At 36.9% G+C, this 21,660-nt stretch overlaps 1 protein-coding gene across 18 annotated transcripts in view; it reads right to left on the bottom strand.

Annotated features, from left to right (window-relative positions):
* Positions 1-4,946: 4,946 nt before the first annotated feature.
* The window catches only part of NPNT (nephronectin), a 76,201-nt gene continuing 59,487 nt past the window's right edge, over positions 4,947-21,660 (bottom strand). For 9 of the 18 annotated variants that reach the window (XM_011531820.3, XM_011531824.3, XM_011531822.3 and 6 more), the window contains 4 exons: positions 18,061-18,147; positions 17,492-17,590; positions 9,174-9,430; positions 4,947-7,723 (listed from right to left, as the gene is read on the bottom strand). In XM_011531820.3, the coding sequence (XP_011530122.1) occupies positions 7,628-7,723; positions 9,174-9,430; positions 17,492-17,590; positions 18,061-18,147 (539 nt within the window). In that variant the 3' untranslated portion in view covers positions 4,947-7,627. The remainder of the gene's footprint in view (positions 7,724-9,173; positions 9,431-17,491; positions 17,591-18,060; positions 18,148-21,660) is intronic. The other 9 variants (XM_011531823.3, XM_047449983.1, XM_047449984.1 and 6 more) reach the window with 3 other exon arrangements.

Below are 21,660 nucleotides of genomic sequence, written 5' to 3'. Positions count from 1 at the left end.
TATTGTGGAAAGCACTTTGAAAGCTATACATTTTCCGTGCATATAAAAAACGTTATTCAGACTACCAATGAAATAACGTCGACTCAAGTTCTCCTAATTATACATTAGCCCTGCAACCATGTTGAACCTCATACCTGCAGGTGCTGATGGTGGCTCCAGCAGTGCTGGTGTTGGTAGGCACTCAATAAACCATACGGAGGCAGGAGGCAGGGAACTTCCGTACCTGTCTATGATCCAGCACTGCCGTCTCCAAGGCAGTGGTTCTTAGGCTTCAGTATGCATCAGATTTACTGAAGTATGGTGAAAACCCCTGACTGCTGGGCCTCACCTGCAGAGTTTGATTCTGTAGGTCTAAGATGGGCCTGAGAATCTGCATTTCTAACAAGTCCCCTAGTGATGTTGAAGCTGCTGATTCCAGCATCAGACTTTGAGAACCCACCACTCTAAAGCATGGTTTACCATCTGCCCATCTACCTTAGTTGGGCAAATTTGTTTCATGGGTGTTCCTATGTGGGAGAAAGCTAAGGTTAATAGAAAAGTGTTACACAGTACTCTAAAGTGGTACTTTGCAAAACTTAATGGGCCTACAACTCACTTAAGAATCTTGTTATAAGTGGATTTTACTTCATTAGGCCTAAGGTGGGCCCATGATTCCCAGGTGGTGCTTGCACTACTGGTCCACTGACTACACTCTGACTGATAAGGCTGGAAAGGGCAGCTCATGGCTGTGCATTTGCTTTCTTTAAAAAAGAAAAATGGATATTTTTAAATTTATTGCTAAATATGTTAAGCTTTCTGCTCTCTGCTACTTGTCTGCTTTTCAGATAATTTGACAGTGAGTTCAACCCTGCAATAACCAAATTTTTTCTTTAAAAATTATATTATTTAATAATAGATTTGAAGGAGCTTACAAAAATACATATGAAAATACATATAAAACTTCTGCTCTACATCTATGGCAGGGGTGTCCAAGGCCATAGACATTTGGCTTCTTTGGGCCACATTGGAAGAAACTGTTTTAGGCCACACATAAAACACACTAACACTAATGATAGCTGATGAGCTAAAATAAAATAAAATAAAATAAAATAAAATCACAAAAAACTCAATGTTTTAAGAAAGTTTATGAATTAGTGTTGGCTGCATTCAAAGCCATCCTGGGCCACAGGCAGTTTGACAAGCTTGATCTATGGCTTCTGGATGCAAAAGAAGACTACTTCATGAGAGGGGATGCAGCAGTACTATTTTTCCCCTATTAATTTTAGGTGACACATAATAATTATACATATTATGGAGTATGGGAGTGATATTTCGATACATGTATACAATGTGTAATGATCAAATCAGGATAGTTAGGCTATCCATCACATCAGGCATTTCTTATGTCTTTGTGTTGGGAACATTCAAAGTCCTCTCCTCTAGCTTTTTGAACATATACAATAAATTATTAACTATATTCACCCTGCAGTACTCTAGGATACTAGAACCCATTCTTCCTGTCTGGCTATAATTTTGTATTTGTTAACCAATGTTTTTCTCTTTCCCAGCTTCTAATATGAACAATTCCACTCTCTCCTTCCATGAGCTCATTTTTTTAGTTTCCACATTAGTGAGAACATGTGATATTTCTTTCTGTGCCTATTTTAACGTAAGTCCACGATGCTTATCCATGTTGCCATGAATGACAGCATTTCATTCTTTTTAATGGCTGAATAGTACTATATTGTGTGTATGGACAGCATTTTCCTTATCCATTCATCTGTTGATAGTTTAGGTTGATTCTGTATCTTGGCTATGGTGAACAGCACTGTAAGAAACATGCAGGAGAGCAGTGCTACTGACCAATCATTTAAAACACCTGATGAATTAAATCATCGGGGAAAACACATTCTCTTTAAAATTTAAAAAATGTTCGCCCATATTTTTGCATTTTTGATTGGTGGGCTGGGGGAAAACTATTTCAGAGGCAGAACAGTTAGAATTTGTCAACGATTTGAAGAAATAAAAATAAAAGAAAAATAAAAACAGAAAACCAGTGACAAATTTCAAAGGTTAATGAAATTGATGTTAGTGCTTTTATTCAAAGAAGGAAGGAATTAGCAAGGTCAAGCAGGCTTCGGGGAGAAAGAGGGGTAGATTAATAATAAGCTGTAATTAATACTGTTTGGAGCTCCTTTATGGAATCTCCTTGCACCTTTCCAGTAAACAGTTGGAAATGTGGGAATGTGGCTCAAGAAAGCCAAGGGAGAAGAGGATATCAAGGAATATCAGATGTGCTCATCACTGCCAAATGCTGCTTATGTAATGATACATGTGGATTAAACATTGGAACTTATACACAATTATACAAGTTAATAAGCAGACTTCAAAAGAGCACTTTTGGTAGAATAGTGATGTTAGTTCAGAGTTAGGGAGTGAAATAGCAGTGGTAGCAAGGCACTGGAAAATTGGTCTCATGTAAGTCACTTTCTAAATAGATGATGAAAAACAGAAAACATTAATAAGGAAAGAATCTTAAACTAAGGCACATCAAAGTTACCTGGAGAACTTGTTATACCCAGATTGCAGGGGCTCCACCTCAAGTTTCTGATGCTGTTGGATGGACATGGAGGCAAAGAATTTGCATTTCTAACATGTTTCCAGTACTGAAGTGGCTAGTTTGGGGACTACTCTTTGGAAATCATTGATTTTGATCACAGTATTATCATTCGAAGCCAGATTATTCTTCATTGTGTGGAGCTGTCCTGTGCTTTATGAGACGTTTGGAAACATATCTAAACACTAGATACCAATAGCACCCCCGCATTGTGACAACCAAAAATGTTTCTATGCATTACCAAATGTCCCCTGAGGATGAAAACTGACTGCAGGTGAGAAAACTGCTTTGGATGACCCTACAAATCACGAGTGTCTGCAAGCAGATCCCGAACACCAGAGTGGGGCTTGGTCTAGAAAATGAAGATTTGCGTAAAACAACAGAACAGAGCCTCCAGGGTCGGTCATCTATACTCCTCGAAATTACATATCAGGTTATGAGTGAGGGCTCAGTTTTTAGCTTTTAATGAATTAATCCCAGAAAAATCAAATTGGAACTCACCTCTACTGGAATTTCAGATTGCTTTCAAGTTTCTGAGTCCTGGAGCCCTGAAAAGCAATGCTCTCCAATTCATGAATGTCCCTTTGTCTTTTAAAATACAGGCTTCCTGGATCACTGCCTCACTTATATTTAAGTGTCCTCAATTATAACTTCCTTATTCCGAAGGCCCTGCCAGTTGTTTAAAAAGCAATGTTCTGCACCAGGTGGGCAAGTTTAAATATTCCATGCTCAGAAAAGAAGTTTTTGAAAGAAAAAAAATACACTGGGACTTTGTAAATTTTTACGAATCCAGATCTTGCAACTATGGGCCCTCAGGCCTTCCAGCCGTGAATGTTAATGAAGATGAAGGCCCTAATCTCCCTCAGTACACTTACCATTAAGGCCTTGTTACTCAAATTGTGGAACCAGGACAAGGAGCATAGGCATCACCTGGGAACTGGTTAGAAATGAAGCATCTCAAGCCTCACTCCAGATTCATTAAATCAAAAGCTGCATTTTAACAAGATTCCAGGTGCTTCCCATGCACCTTAAAATGAAAAGCAATGGGTGAGAGTCTTGAAATCCACCATGGTTCCAGAACCTTCAAAACACCGCCTATTTATTCAGAACAGCAATTTTGCATTAATTTATATGACTTTGATAAATGTCCACCTCCCTCTCAAGACTGAAACACTAAAAGGGGAAATCTCCCACTGTCGGACCCTAGAGCCCCCCTCCCTTTCCTTACACATGGGTATTTGAAAATCTGCTGACTAAATCAATGAACTACACCCTGGAATCTCATCGTTATCTGCTCCTCCCAACCCACAACCTCAAATAGGTTTCAGAAGAGGTTTAACTTCTTAATTAACATACTCAGAAAACCTGAACTTTCTCAGATCTCTGAGGGATGATTATGAAGGATCTCTGAGATAAGTTATTCCTTACTTTTTGCTTGAATTATGTATTTATCCAAGATTTTATGTCCCCAGCTAAGAATTCTCTGCATATTGGAAAGAGAGAAACTATTGAGTATATTCTCTATAATTCTGCATGAGGACTAATTTTTATTCTTGTATAATTTAAAAATTTTTTTGTTGTAGTTGTTTTCTCCAGGAAAGGTTATTAGAGTATGAGTAAAGTGTTATAAATAAAATTACAGTAAAAAAAGACTTTTCACTTATAATTCACATATTTGTATATTTACTTATAGCTTAATCTGCCTTTCCATAATAGAATTGAAAGCAGCTGGGCACAGTAGCGCACACCTGTAATCCCAAGCACTTTGGGAAGGTGAGGTGGGAGGATAGCTTGAAGCTAGGAGTTGAAGACCAGCCTGAGCAACATAACAAGACCCTGTCTCTACAAAAAAAAAATTTAAATATAAAAAATTAGCCAGGTCTAGTAGTGGCATGTGCCTGTAGTCCCAGCTACTTGGGAGGCTGAGACCAGAGGATTGCTTGAGCCCAGGAGTTTGAGGCTGCAGTGAGCTATGATTGCACCACTGCACTGCAACATGCGAGACAGAGAGAGACCTTGTCTCAAAAAAAAGAACAACAAAAAAAAAAGAATTTAAAGCAAATGTTTACAATGAAATGATAATAAAACATAACTAAAGCAATTTACTAAGGCATGGCATGGGTTATAGTGATCTTCTGATCTCTTTCCCTGTTCATGCTGATAAAAAAAATAAAGTGTCTCATGTTTTATAACCTAGAAAGTATAATACTGCAGGCAACATCTTTGTTCCCACCATCCAAACAGTAAAAGGGATTCTACTATGACTTTTGTGAAACATCATTTAACTACCTCAATGCTTTTTTCCAAGTCAAAAAAAAACAAAACTCAAAAAACAAGAATAGACAACTGGTATTACTAACAGTGTTTTTATTTACAAATAATTGTTTTTATTAGGCCATTTGGAAAACCACTAACATTTTTTATTTTAGAAAACATTAAATAATAAACAAGATGTTATACAGTACTTTGGATAACTTCTTCCATCAGTTTAGTGCAATGTATCATTGGCATCGAAAAGTAAAATTTTCATTTATTTTCCCCTTTCATCTTCAGCTGTGCAGTTATATGACCATAAAGGAAATGAACCATTAAAAATGGATCTACAGCCATATATTCTGCCGTTACTCAAAGGCTTAATGATTTATTTTCCCCCTCCAGCCCTGCCTTTACCAGGTTAAATGACAGAAGACCTTCTATTGTACCTATTGTTCAAAAAATATTACTGTTCTGTGGAACCTGGGAGAGTCCAATTGATAAGAGAAACTGAATCATACTGATGAGGTGAAGGAAAGGTCTGCCGGTGTGGGGCAGGGCACTCTTTCTCAGCAGCCAAGATAACTTGTCACACACGAAGCAGAGAGAATGCACCCGATGAAAATCTCTCTGAACTGTGTTCCTTGAAGGATCTCTTAAAAAAAAAAAAATCTGAAACATCATCCATTGAACAAATGAAAGGCTTATACCTTTAACATGAAGAAACATTGAAAACCACCGCCACACTAGGACATTACTGAGATACTAAAATATCTGTCCATCATACTCTCATTTGGAATAAATAGTTTCCTTTTTTCTTTAATACTGCTAGGATTGCCATAAGGGAGAGATATTTCAGTGAGCTCAGCATTTGGTGGGCTCTTCCCCTTTCAATCCCTCTCCATTAGGAGGTCAAGAGGGAAATGCCTAAATTAAGCCTTGTCCAAATTATTTAGTTCTAAAGATTTTCACTGCATACTACTAGTAGGATCAAAACATCTTTTGGGAAATTCTATAATTTGTTACTTTTCCTTGGGTAAGAACATCTTTAACCATCTTAAATAGACAAATTTTTATCTAATTTTTTAGAAAGAGAGAGAGATACTGAGATTTTCACACTTCTTTTTTTATGAAGTATTCTAACAATGGCCCCTGCCAAGAAATGCTCCCTTATACTCTAGTCTAAGCCAGTTTCCTCTTGTTCTATTCTTAGTGCATATGGAGAACAGCTGGTCGCCACCCTCTCTGTGCCAACCCTTCATATACTTGAAAACCATCAATGGTTTGCCCCTCAGTCTTCTCTTCTCCAGGCTCAATAATCCCAGTTCCTTTAATTTTCCATCATAGATCTTTTTTTCCAACCCTTTAATCATCTTTGTGATTCCTGGCAAAAATAGCAGAAAATATTCTGATTACTTAATCAGAAATTAAGACAAACCTCAGGAATGATGCCTTTTAAAAGTTACATTGTTTTTTAATATATTGGTAAAATATGCAGGGAGGAAATACAGTTGGGGGTTCATGGATCTTAGAATTCCAACTTGCCCTGCTCCTCCAGTGTGTGTAAATCCCGTTCCAACACATCCCATGCCTCTAAGCATGGGACTTGCTTCCTATCCCATCCTGACACAGCACAACATGAGCAACATAAGTTATGAACTACAACTGCCTAAACTTATATCAATTTAAAACGTTGTGTGAAAATCTGTTCCAATGGAGTTTCCCCCTATGCTTCCTCTCACTCTGCAACAGGATCCTTTTTCTGAATCAACCAAAACTTTTATAAAGCTTCCTACATATTACCAGAGCCATGTTATGATGGTAAAAGCTGTGGTTTTAAAGTGTAACTTGAAACAGTGACAGTTCTAAATTAACTGCAGTTTCTTGTCTTCCTAAAGGTTTCCTATCCTTTGCAGAGATCAAACTCAAGGCCATTAAAAAAAAATTCATCACTCCGTTACCACAACCCAACACTTCTGCCAATTTCCTACTGCTGCCAATATAAGGTCATGGAACTGGATGACATTTCACCATGTATTTTTTTGAGATCACAAGCTGCCCTTTACCTTGCAACTAGAGTCTGTAAATATTTGGAACATGTAAATACTTAATATCAATAGCACATTTACACAAAACACAATACTACTAAGGAGGGATTACGTGCCCACTCTACATAATTGTCTTTAACAGGAAAAAAAAAACAGATAAAAATAAATGTATCTTGATATGTTACACACCCTTATTTTATAAAGTGAATGGCAGTAAAAGTCAGAGTTCAGGTCAGGCCAGAACTAACTTAAGTGAAGAGGGTAAGTCAATTTCACAAGCACATTGTACATCATATCTCAAGGGAAGTCAATACTACTCATGGTACAACACCGAACACATAACATCATAGCCATCTGCAAAGATTTCTTTTAAAAACTGCTCCCGTAACTCACTCTCATAATTTGCTACAAGGAGCACCTTGTAATCAGGATGGAGGATGGTATGGCTCACGCATGCTGAATGCCTTCCTGAAAGAGACACAGGATGGAAGGCAACACCCACAGATGGCTTTGATGTGTCTGCGATGCCCCTGTATTTCAAGGAGGGTATCACTGTTCATTGGGATTGCACAAAAGCAGGCCAGAAAAACCTGGGTCACCAAATAGACTTCCTTCTGACCCACTGACCCACTCTTCTCCTAGGCCTGATAAAAGGGAGAAGAGGAGAGAAGATGAGAATTGGAAAAAGAGGATAGAGCAACATAGGAGTTCATTGTTAGTTCTGGAGTTGTTAGCGTTCTTCAGAGCAGTGGCCTTTTTTCAAGCTCACATCATCTAATCCAATCTCCCCAGTGTGACCACGCCTTTTTTCACCTTTGAAGACGACCTAGGGAGAGAATGCACACACCAGTCAAGCCTCCTCTGCCCCTTTCTAATGCCTCCTTATTAAGCAAAAATAAAGGCAAACCTTCCCCCAAACCAATTTTAAACTTATTTTGCAGGAGGAAAAAAACAGAATATAGTTGCCAGTATCACTGAAGCTTCTCTTTCAGTAGAAACTGAAGTCATCAAACTGTTCATCAGACCACATTACTCAGAATCAATTATTCTTTAAAAAGCCATTCTAAGCTATAGACCAATTCGATTTAGGATTGTTTATAAAGTGCACACTTTTGTCAAGGATTACCAAAGTTAGAAGAGTGTGATAGAATATAAAGGAACAGATATTAGGAGCCAAAGATCTGAAAGATCATAATCACACAGCCTATCTTAAATGTTTCTTAGTTCCTTTGTGGTTAACATCGCTTTCTTGCTGAAAATGGAATAGAATCAAACACCATAATCCAATCACACTGTTGCTTTACCTATGTAAAAACCAAAAACTTTTATTATTCTTACATTATATTTTCTATAGAGCATCCTTGCTCCTTATAAAACAAGAGAAAACCTAAGTGCTATGATTTAAAATGATTATCTTGTTTTATTTCTCTAAACAATAAAAATACTGAGAAAAGTTTTAAGAAAAAATATGTAAGAATTAAACAAAATCCAAGTACTCTGATAAAAACTGTATTAATGGAATCTATCTTTTCTTTCTAAAATGGTTTCTTATAAACTATACCTACATACAGGCATAGGTATCTCCCAACAGCAAGTTTCATAAGCACCAGCAAAATGATGACATTTTCCCAAATGCATTCATAATTTTGTTGGGATGCCCTAGACCATTTTTTTGCTACCTATGTCTTGATTACTTAAGATCAAATTTATATATTCCATCAAAGCACTTCCCACATCCTGTCCTGAATAGAATAGTGCTTTCCAATTGTAGTTCTGAGTTCCCACCCTACGCTGCTTAACTGTGATCTCTGAAACAAAGAAAAAAATTTGAACTTGAAAGAAACATTTCAAAAAAGAAAAAAGAACCATCTCCTGGGTAATTTATGGTAGTAAAAGTTTGAAATCTAAGGAATTAAAAGGAAAGGGAAAGCAGGAACAATTAAGCTCACCACCCCACCCTTGGAAGTTTCTGTTGATCAACTTTAAAAAAAACCAAAAAAACTTTTCTATTCCTAGATTTTTTTTTCCATTAAAAAAAAATGGATCTTTACCAGGGTTAGGGAGAGGTGGTGATCACAGGTTGCAATGAAGAAGGATGAAGAAGCAGAAAGTGGTTTCAGAAAGAGACACTGAATGGAGTCATCAGGCCCAGAAAAAAACCCAAACCTTTATCTGAGCCTGAATTCACACAGCAAGGCTTCTTCAAATTCAGATCCCAGAGTTCTCCTATGAAAGGAAAACGTCCCAGGTCCTGCCTCCTTTGTGGATCTACTTACGCTCTTGATGTCAGCCCCTCGCAAGGTGATCTGTGTTTGCCTCCAGCCATGGCCACCATTTCTTCCCCACAGGGCTGCTCCGTGGGCACCGTGTTTTCTCACAAACACCTGGAGTGTGCCAGAGTGCAGCCCCGTCACCTTGTGCCTGAATGACAGGCACAGGTCCCCTGAATGCATGAGGCGGCCGAGAGGTAGCACCAAGCGTGCAGCTTTTCCCCCTGGGGCTTTGGCTGCCGACACTGTCAGATATTGTCCACCTGGAATGGGAAAAGCAGGGCTGTGTGTATGTGCCAATATCCCTTTCTAGAACAAGCAGCATGGACAGGAGTTTTAGTTTTTTTTTTTTTTTCTTTTCTTTGTAAAGAATTCCAGATTTTTGAAGAAGAAAAATATGACTTATTTGTATGCCTGTCTTAAGTTCTATGGTATGTGTTTACAGAAAACATTCACTTACTTTGCTCATGGAAAGTACAAGTAATGCCAGAGACACACAATAATTAGTAACCAAACACTATGAATATTTCCAGTGGAATATGATCAGACATATAGGCATACAACAACATATACACATTCACCACCTTGTGACCCTCACCAGTTTATGATAACGTTGTCCAACACCCCTGGCGATCTGGCTTGGTGGTTTGGTAAAACTGACCCTAAATTTCTAGGGAGAATTTTCTGGTGGATAATTAACCTCTGAACAGTAAAGCAGATGGTGATTTAAAGGGCCCTATATCTGCTTATTCTCTCCTCCCCCAACTTAAAAAAAAAAAATCTCTAAACGTAAAGGTTCTTTAAAAAAAAAATCAGAGTTGGCAGAGCTTCTCACACTGGTGTAAATCTAACACCAGGAAGATACAGAGGTATTCAGGAAACCCTCCCCGTCTTCCTGGAGCTTCAATTTTATTTGGAGGTAAGCCATTTAAAACATTTTTATAGTAAAACAAATCTATATCATATCTATTCTATAAATATGTCCTATTATATATACATGAACACAAATATTAATAAAAACTTTCACTTTAGATAGACCACTTTGATGATGTTCTCAGATCCCTAGGGCTACAGAGTTTTCTTCCCTCTGTTGTTAAGGAAACTGCATTAGAAAAAAAATGGTTAAGCAGCAGTGAAGTGGGGGGTGCTGCTTCTCAAGAGAGAGAAAGTTGCAAGTAGTATTTTGAAACTTGATCCATGTACAAATGACATTCCCTCAGGCTATTTTATCTCAGTCAACTGAAAACACACTGTATGTTTCAACACTGGTTTTTCCATAGAAAAATGGTTGGAATGTTGAACATGTGTATCTATTTTGGTAGTAATCCCATTTAGTTTTCAGTTAACAGATATAAACTATCATCTCTTTCTTATGCTTAATTTATACAGGACATGATAAAATTTGGTATTAACTTTTTATTCCAGTGTCTTCTCTAACAAGTCCCGTCGGAGCTCTATAGGTCACAGGTGATTTCTGTGCACTTACTGTGTGCCAGCCTCTGTGCTAAGGGCTCCCCAGCAGGTTGTGAACAACTTAAAAGTCTGAACCAAAGTTTCCCCCAAACCTCTGTGTTACCCTGCTAGCAGGCAGCAGGTGTTTAAGGATGTTTGAATCAACGAATGATGTTCCAAGGATACAGCAAAAAACTGCAGGGAAATAGATCCTTGATTCACGTACTTGAATCACTAAAAATACATAATGTCTTAAGAATCTTTCTCCCACTTCCCTTGTCCCCTTCCTCCACAAACTAATCCAAACAATATTTTGGGCCAAAATATTTACATGTCTCACTATAAGTCAGCTTTTGAATCATCACAGGTACTCTGGTTAAGACTAAGATATAAGGTTATTACAGTTAACCTGCAAGTTTCGAGAAAACAAGGATTAAGTCCCTGTGGAATGTACACTGATACCATTCTGCCAGACGCTACCTGCAAACAAGACAACCTAACACACCAAGGTATTCTTTGCATATGCATTTAAAACTCTAAAATTTACAACATGATAAATGAGGTTATGATTGTTCTTCCTCTGTAGAGCTACTCTGTGCGCACCAGGTTTTGCTTTTGCCGTTTTTTTTTTTTTTTTTGGCCATGAAGAATTCGTTCCCTTTGTAATAAAGGAAATGATACAAGTTGGAACATTAACTAAGGGAAAAATTGATTCAGTGTCAAGCAAGTTACCTATTAAAATTTTCACTTCTGATTTCATAATTCTGGTGATAAATGTACAATTATATTAAACATTCATTCAGTTTACAGTATCACAATATCTCAAGAATTTTGGGGAGGGAGGGTAAATAATAGATGCTGCAAAACTTGACCAGAAAGTTGGGTTATAAAATGTTAGTTTATTTATTTTTAATTCTGTAGTGGTTGGTGCCTTTAAATTTTCAATTCACAAAATCTAGAGGTATTTGTGAAGGTTTTGACTTCTGAACTTTTCTTATGTAATACATTCACATAAATGCACATGAATATGAACTTTTTTTAAAAAAAGGAATACTATATTTGCAGTGTTGTAAGTTGCTTCTTGTATAACCATTTTTCTATGGTAGCAAATACACTTTGCATTGCTGCAAGTATGCCAATAACCATTTAGCCAATTTCTTACTGAAGAACATTTAAGTTTCCAAATTTGCATGTTAAGATAAAAATACCATAAAATAGACAAACAAAAATGTTTTTAAATATTTGCAACAAATTAAAAAAGGATAATTTTTCTTTTTGTATAGAAAACTTCCATAAATCAATAAAAATACTAAAGAAAAATAAAGAACATCAGAGAAAAAATGACAAATATATGAAAATGTGATCAACTTTTCACAATAAAAGAAATGCAAAGTAAAATTAAAAGAGATTCCTTTTAACCTATAAGATTGGCAAAGATTTTGAAAATACTTTTATAATATATTGGGAATGGTTTTCAAATATTGTAGGAAGAAGTGTAAATTGCTACAACCTTTATAAAGGGCAATTTAATAAAATCTATCAAAATTCAAAATACAAATTCTCTTTTGACATAGCAATTCCACATTTAGGAATTTATTCTATGGATATAGTCTAACATATATTAAATAATGAATGTATAGGGTTATTCACTGCACTACTGTCTGAACTACCTAAAGTCTTGAAACAACTTATGTTCCTCTGTGGAGGGCTGGCTAAATACATTGTGGTACATCTGATGAGTAATGGAATAGCAGCCAGCCATAAATAAGAATGAGGGTGTTCTGTATGTACTGACAGGGGACATGCTTCAGCCACAATGGCTAATACTATTTTAGTGGTAACTCTGGGCGAGGCACTGCTTGAAATGCCTTACATATGTTTAGTGGATAGTACTTATTATCCCCATTTAAGTAACTTGCTCAAGGTCAAAGCTAGTATGTGGTGGTGCTGGGTTCCAGACCAGGTATTCTGGCTTCAAAGTCCATGTTCTTCCTGTTAACTCTTAAGGTAGTATCGATAAGTGACAAAGGCAAGGCACAGAAGAGAATGCCATTGTATCCAAAAATATCTCTCTGAGAACATAATCAAGAAACTGGCTGCATCTTGCTGGGTGGTGAATGGGAGTCAGGGATGGTAGAAAGCTTTCACTTATATTGTTGATTTATTTTACATTTATGTGTATTTTAAAATAATGTTTTAATGCTGAAATAGACATACTTGTATGTACATGCTGGCATACTTGATACATATGTAAGCAAATTCCTTGTAGCTATCAGTGGCAGACAGAGTGCTGAGTCAGTTGCCCTTAATCCTTGTTCTCCAGAGATCAAGGTTCCAGGAAAAGGGCCTTAGTTCTAGCTTTGACACACACAGGAGAAGGGTGTGTCCCCAGGGCCACAGCTACATACCTGCAGCGCATCACCATGTCTGTCAGCAGCACAATTTTCCATTTCTTAGAGGCATTGTTAATTTCACATCTCACTGTGACTGAATGTGATAAAACCTAATAGCACCATGAAAGGCAGCTAGCAAATGCACTTATTTTGCAGCTATTTCTTAAGGTTTTGAGTTTTGAGAGTTTTCTTAGAAATATTAGCATATAAGAATATTTACAAATCTGGATCTTGGATTAGAACTGCACATCATTAAAATCATCCATAATTGGATATCCAAACACATATTCTTTTATAAGTGGTATAATCTAGATAGAAATAGGTAAATAATTAGCTTGGTAATTAGAATAATACACAGAAATTATTATTTATTATTTTTTTTTGACGGAGTCTTGCTTTGTCACCTAGGCTGGAGTACAGTGGCGTGATCTCGGCTCACTGCAAGCTCTGCCTCCCAGGCTCAAGCGATTCTCCTGCCTCAGCCTACTGAGTAGCTGGGACTACAGGTGCCTGCCACCACGCCTGGCTAATTTTTGTATTTTTAGTAAAGACGGGGTTTCACTATGTTGGCCAGGCTGGTCTTGAACTCCTGACCTCAGGTGATCCACCCACCTCAGCCTCCCAAAGTGCTGGGATTACAGGGGTGAGCCACTGTGTCTAGCCGATTTTTTATATTCTTCTCTGGCCTTCACATGTGATACACACACACATACACATACATACACACACACACATACACACACACACACACACATACACTCCATCCACCTGAATTTCCTAGAATAAAAAACCATGAAAAGGTAAGCTTTATTAGTATTTTCCCATCAGTGCTGGGTTATAATTCTCTCAACATATTCTAAAAATATATTCTGCAATTCCATCCTCACATATCCTGCCTTCCAACTCTCTGCCATCTTTTGGTCTTCCCATCCTTCTTTCCAAGCTAGAATCCTGCTCACTGAATTTCTTGGGACTATTTCCACATTCCATTCTGAATCAGGCTCTCAGAGCTGGTTTAGAGGTTTTCTAATCCAACTTTCATCTGATGCTCAAAACCTTTTAACAGTATCTTGCCATATGTCACCCAGTCAAATGCTTCCACCAAGATAACTCACTCTTTCCATGTCAGCCTGTTCTCTTTTTAGATGACAGTGAGCCAAAATGAATCTCCCTGTATTTTTTACCCATCAATCCTATTCTCATCCCCTTTCGGTCACAGAGAACAACTCTAACCCTAGTCAATTATTTGAAAAGGAACCCTGATGCATCATTTCTTCTCCAGGCTAAACGTTATGGTTCCTTTGCCTGTTTTTCACAAGCTTGGAGATACCTTTCCATGCAGGTCATCCTCTTCTAAGTGACCAACTCTATTCTTCTCATATTAGAAAAAAAGAATTCTCAAAAGTGGATTCACCACTTAACCAAAGTGGATTTTCATTCTTGAAACATAGCATATTTCTATAGAGATGGTCCATATTTCTGGCAGCAACATCACAAGGTTCGCTTAGATTGATTTCATTACACACTAAAACTCTAAAGTCTTCTACCCTTAGTGATATGTCAGGTCTTCCCCCTCACTCAGATGTGTGACTGGTTTCTCGACTATGAGCCATAACTTCGACTCAACCCCATTACATTTCACCTTCTTAATTGTGACCCATTAATCTAATTTTTCGAATGCTGGTTGTATCAGCACACATAGTCACTTTCCTCTCCAGATTTGAGTCAACCGTAGTTTGGTCAGTTTATCTTCAATATTAAGTTCAATGTCCTATTTATCTAAGTTCTTGGTAAAAACTTGGACCAATTCTAGAAAAGCATCCTCCAGGGACCGTAGCCAATCATCACGAGTTATCCAATCACTCAAGCAGGCATCTCTTCCTTTCAATTTGCTCTGTACTAACACGGTCCAATAACGATTTCAAATTTCTTTGTCTACCATTCTAATTTCTAACCCTCTTCTCATTTTTCCATCAGAGAGAAAGGGAGATTTGGGTCACAACAAATTTAAACATTTACAAATATAATGAATAATAAAAAAATGTTGAAAAGGACTAAATTGGTTCTAAAATACAGTATTTAAATTCTAAAACTCAAGTATTTTACATAGATTGTTTACATAGAAGTGCAGTGAATTCTCCTGAGTTTAGCATGAATTACTCTCCCCAGTGTAACTTACTTGAAGGAATCATTCATTATGACCATAAATATTATTCACCATTCTGTCATACATGACTGCCAAAGATCCCTCCTTCTGTAGCAAACTACTCCAGGTCAGTGGTCAGTCAGTCTAATCTACAGGTCTGTGATCTGCTAATCAGATCATGCACACTACCACATGCACACCTACTGAGGCCAGCCTGTGGTACAGTCAAAAACACAATAATGCTGCAGATGTTCTGAGTATTGGACTGTCTAGGAGCCTGCATGAGTAGTACAGAGTGGTTTGGACTTAATTCCACCACTCTCTAGCTCTGTGGCCTTAGGAAACAGGTAACTTCTCTGGGTGTCAATATTTCCTTTGTGAAATAAAGACAATATTATTTGCTCCTCGAGTGAATGATAAAACATGATCAACTTTTCACAATAGAAGAAATGCAAAGTAAAATTAAAAGAGATTCCTTTTCACCTATAAGATTGGTAGAGATTTAAAAAAATACTTTTATAATATCTGTTGGGGATGGTTTTCAAATACTGTTGGTAGGAGTGTAAATTGCTACAACTCTGTAGCAATGAAATAAATTTATTTTAATTGCTACAATTAAATAAAATTGATGAGATTTTAAATAAGCTAGGACTGTCATAGGTATTTTATATTGTATACACACACACACACACACACACGTAGATATGTTGGTTTCTCTCTTATTCACAGAATCTGTGACATTAATGATAATGCTGTCCTGCTCAGAGTTAACTTTAAATGAGTAAGACAGTAATGCAAGAATGACTGAGAGTACTGTGTGTGAGGCACTAAATGATATTGTCTTTTACAATGAAAAGAAATGTATGAACCAATTTGAATTTATTGAATATTCCTATTTTAAGGAATTTAATTCACATTTTAATTTTTAAGTAAATCTCTATTTCAACCTTAGGGGATGTAATGAATATATTTTTGGACTAATTTTTTAATACCTTGTTACTCAAAATGTGCGTTGAGGACCACCATAGAGATCTTCAGGGAGCCTGCTAGAAATGCATGAAAATCTGTATTTTAATGAGGCCCTCAGCTGCTCTGCAATCACAGTGAAGTTTGAGAAGAGCTGGTTTAAGATATCATGAGCTCTCTCAAGTTAACTTTTCTGTGTTTGGTGCTCTTATCCAGTATGGTATTCAAGAACTAGGCTTTTAAAATAAATGAAATAACAAGCTTTTCCTTCACATTCTGTATCTTCTTAAAATCTAGAATCAGGAGTATAAAAAGGAAAAAAAATGAAACCAAACTCCTCACCCTTCCATTAAGTAGGCCTTATCCATAAAAGATTTAACTTCTGGCTGGGCGCGGTGGCTCACGCCTGTAATCCCAGCACTTTGGGAGGCCAAGGCGGGCAGATCACGAGGTCAGGAGATCGAGACCATCCTGGCTAACAGGGTGAAACCTAGTCTCTACTAAAAATTACAAAAAATTAGCCGGGCATGGTGGCACATGCCTGTAGTCCCAGCTACTTGGGAGGCTGAGGCAGGAGAATTCATTGAACCCAGGAGGCAGAGGTTGCAGTGAGCCGAGATCGCGCCACTGCACTCTAGCCTGGGCAACAGAGCAAGACTCCATCTCAAAAAAAAAAAAAAAAAAGATTTAACTACTGAGGGGAGAAAAGCTATCTTGAATCTAGAAGAAAAGATGTCTTATGAGTACTAAAACTTTAGATTAATAGGAATTGTGCAATTTAAAACTCCTTTGAGTTCCAAGGAACTATGTCTAAATCTACCTTTTGTTATAAAATGAGTGGTGGTGATTCGTAACCATTTCCTTCAGCACCCAAGTTAGAGTGAAATTTTTTCAGAGGATAATCACAACTTTATAGAAATTTCCACTGTGTTCTTCTACTACCACTCAAATCTTAAAAAAAAAAAAAAAAGAAAAGAAAAACAAAGAAAAAACAACTGGGGAATGCCTATTACCATGGCTGATATACCACTATATTACTTCTTTTATTCCTGGGAATGGGTGCTACAAATAACTTAAGAATTATTTGCAAGAATTAATCTAAATATTTTATTTATCAAGCTTTTTGAGAGAAATTAGTTGACCTTTTAATTAACTACTTGTCTCCCATAATATAGTGCTAGTTGATAGCTAACAAATTTAACTCTTTCAAAGAAATGAAATATAAATGCTAGGCATGGTCCTTTTTGACCATCTTTATCAAGTAAACACAGAGATGTGTTACAGTAGACTTGATTAGCAGCAGTGGAGTCTTCAGATAGTATCACATTGAAATGTGTACCAGAAAAAGTTAAATGAAATGGTTTTACCTGCTGGGTCCCTGATTGGTTCCCAGTGCAAGTCATTGTCTTTCTCCCTGATCCATCCACAAAGTCCATGGTCAAAATTACAACTGTGTACCAGAACACCTACAAGGAAATAATCAGAAAGATGAGTGGATCAGAAAATCAACAAAAAACAACAAATGAATCTATGAACTAGGGGTATCTAGACAACAAGTGTTCTCTCCTATCCATATAACCAGAGCTTCTTTCCATAAGACCAAAGGGAAATTACATTAATCTTTTCTCAGCACAATAGTGCATCATCTGTAAAAATAGAACACACAAGTGTTGCCAAATTATAACAATGTTACATCATCACTTATAAAATATGATTTCCTTTTTACAGTTTAAGTACTACTTTAAAATTTTTTTAAAAAAGAAAATGATTCATAATTATTTTTGCTCAACTGATTTAACTACAAAGAAAATCTGAGTTGTTAAAGAAAACAGGTGTAATTTTCCCAAATGGTCCAAACGATCTACATTTAAAAGTTATTTTCATGGAGAGAAACAATAAAATGTCATTATGATGGCACTAAGAGTGTAAGTGTCACCTGGATCATCCTTTGCTTCATCGTCTGCACTGACTCCTCTTTCTATTTCAAATATTTCAAACAAGTCATTTGAAGGTTGCCGTGGAACTGCAAGAGAAAGGTTTTGAGTTTTTGTGTGTGTGTGTGTGTGAAGTATTGATAAAGAGGCATTACCTTTAACAAGGGCAGGAGGAAAAGGCCTAGTCATTTTATTCATCTGGATGAATCCAAAATATTTAATTATATATCACATGAAGATTCACGAATTTTGTTCTGCAGTGATTTATACTGCAACCTTGATCTGGGTACATTTTTTAAAAATGATTTTCAAAAGTTTCTAAAATTCAACAAAAATAACTTAAAAAGTCTTTATCTGGAAAATACATTTTAATAGAGCAACCAATTTCTAGCCAACTATTCATCTCTATGAAATTCTAAAGTTCATCTCTACGAAAGATACATTATTATGATCTTTAAATCAAGGTTGTTTTAACTGAAAATACCTATGATGGAAGCGAATGGTTTGGTTTCTAATCACAGCATGTACTCCCCACCCCCAGTGAACTCCGCACATTGTTGCACTCTAATATACATTTCCTACCATGGCCTCCCTTGCTTAAACAGTTTCCCTGGCTCCTTTAAGATCAAACTCAAACTTCTTGGGCCAGAGTTTACAATCTACCCCACCAAAATACACAATGCTGTCCAAACATGCCATTCATTTTCACGTCTCAGACCCAATGCTCTCTTTCCTGCTAATTAACCTGCCAAAAATCTCTTCTTCCTTCAAGGCCCAGCATAAATATCACGGCCTCTGTGGAGTGATTCTGCCCCAGGCAGAATCAAATTCTTCCCTCTTGTACCTCAAGAGTTCATGCTTATAAGCCCCTATTACACACTTTCATAAAGAATTGCAGCTATTTACACACATGTGTCTGTCCCTCTGCTAGTCTCTGAGGTCCTGGAGGGCATCAATCATGTCTTATTTGGGTGGCATTTCCAGGGCTTGACCTGGTGACAGGCACTCAATAAGTGTTTACTAAGTGAATGCAAAGATCCTGTTAGAACCCCAGGTAGTATTTCACACTTTTCCTCAAAGGACACAAGTGGGACAAAGCATAAGAATCTACTTTAAAAAAATAATTGATTTCTTTAAATCATTGATTTATTTATTCAATCAGTGTATATTTGATGGCCAAGCAGATGCCGACCACTGTGGCGGGCACTAAGGAGACAGGGTGAACGGGGTAGACAAGACTGAGGGTCTGGATCTTACATGGCTTGAATTCTAATGGGAGAAGCAGACTTTAAATATGGAGATAAACGAGTGCTGTAATTTGAGATTTTGGTAAGAGTTAGGAAGGAAGACATCATGGAGAGTAACTGGTGGGGAAATGCGTGGGAATGTTCATGGTGGTGAGGGGAATTCTTGGTCAAAGGCCAAGGAATACTCCCTTCTCTTTGCCAGAACTTCAATTAATTAGCTTTATTTTTATAAGGCAGGGAGTAGGAGATGTAGAACACTATGAAACAGTCATCACTCAAAGGGGTTCTTTTTTCAACGATGTTCCTATTGTTTTTAGCAAAAATTCTTAAAATTAAGTAATAATCCCAGAACGTTTGCACAAGTTGTTTTTAGCTTACTACTTCTGAGTTTTTTCCTTTTTGTTTCAAACGTTAAAACAGTGAAGTCCCTTCCCCTCTTATAATCCATACTTGCAATATACCCAGCTGGGCAGCAATGAAAGAAAAGAAGCTCTAGGGACACAGCTGACTGTGGATACCCAGGGGATGAGGCAACCCCACTCTCTCTTTTATAGCCCAGCTGACTGACAGCAATGACATCCAATTACACTTTCCTTATTTGGTGCTCTGAGACGGGGAGTGCCTCTTTTATTTACTAGAAATATTACAAAATTGTAGACAAGCGTGCTTTCTTGTGACAGAAAGTTATAAAAACTCCATAGAACAATCATGTTTTTGTCCCCTTCTTTTGTTGTAACTTATATAAATCATCTCCAAAATGGAATAGGCTCAACTCTTAAAAGTACCATATTCCAGGGACATTATGACAGTTTTTCAAGCTCCCCTCCGTCTTTTTTTTTCCTCCCAGATGAAGGACTATCAAATGGCAAATCGAGTGTTGATGTAAAGGTTTCCTGGCACCGGGAGCCTGTTTTATAAAAAGGGAGATCAAGAGGTCCTCTCTGAGGAAGCACAGTTTAAACTGAAAGGGGAAGAATGAAACTTTCCAAGCAAAAAGCATAGCATTGGGGTTGGGGAAGAGGGAGGGTTTCAGGCAGCAAGCACAAAGAAAGTGCTTGGAAAATTTAAAGAAAGGAGTTCACAATGGCTGGAGGATGTTGAGAAATGAAGAAAGCGGCATGGGATGAGGTTGAAGAGAAAGGAAGAGATTAGATCATACAGTTAGAAGATGGCAACACAAAGAATTAGTCAAGTAACAACTTGTAAAATGTCAGATGGTTTATTAATATAAATTATTAATATTAAATTAAATGGTTCTTGGTTTCTAAGAACCATTTAATTTAGCAGCAGATGATCATGTATACCTTCATTACAATCCACTGGGAAACATTCCAAGGAATTTAGAGACCAGAAGTGCTCAGAAGCTATTGGTTCTTACAATTTTGTGTGCTCTACTCTATAACCATACCAAATTATTTAACTAATTTTCCTTCCTCACACATACCAGTATGGGATTACTAAGAGCATCCCACTGAAGTTTCAAGAGAAAAAAAACTACCCACCCCCGATACACTTTAGAGTTTATGTGAAAATATTAAGTGAAATAAGTAGCAGAACAAATCATTCAAGCAGTATTATGTTATTATCACAATCATGTACAAGAAAAACAAACCAAAAAAAAAGGACTAAAGAGGGATAAATACACCAATATGCCAATATGCTAATACTGGTAATCTAAGTATTAGAAATGAAATTTTTTTTTTCATTTGTATTGGTTCACTTTTTTTGTAATTCTATGTTTTTAGGATTGTAAAAAGAAAAAATATAAATATGAATAAAAAACTTACCTAAGACATCTAAATAAAAGAGGGTTCTGTTAGATCACATATAAATAGCAATTATATGTCTGTTATTTGTATTTTGGTTACTCAAAGAGAACTTAGAATAGGCTTGATACTTGTTGAACGCAAGGCTATGAAATTGAAATATGTTTGTGAAATTCAAACACTTTTCTTTGATTTCAAGGGAGCTATTTTGATCAATGCAGAAAATGTTAATTAAAATGAATGACTAGCCTTGCCCAAAAATGAACTATAACCAGGATAGACATTGGTACATGATTTTTCTAATTGTTCTTTCCCTGCTTGATACTTTGGCTAATATTCAACTTAAATACACAATATATATATTTCATAAAAACAAATGCATACCTGCTATTCTCTGCAGTTGAACCATTAATTCTTAGAATTAGAATGGTATAAATTTAGAAACTAAAAAAGAATCAGAGAAGTGCTAGCAATACAATTCCTCCACCATCTGTCCATGCATCCTGCCTCCTTCTACTCCATCCACTCATTTATGCAGTCAGTCAAGAAACTGAGCATCAGCTATACAAAGCATGGGCTAAGAGCTTGT

Source organism: Homo sapiens, chromosome 4, assembly GCF_000001405.40.
Source record: "Homo sapiens chromosome 4, GRCh38.p14 Primary Assembly".
In the NCBI taxonomy this organism is placed as follows: domain Eukaryota; kingdom Metazoa; phylum Chordata; class Mammalia; order Primates; family Hominidae; genus Homo; species Homo sapiens.
Note: the sequence above shows the minus strand (reverse complement) of the source record. Positions and strands in the feature narration are given on the sequence as shown.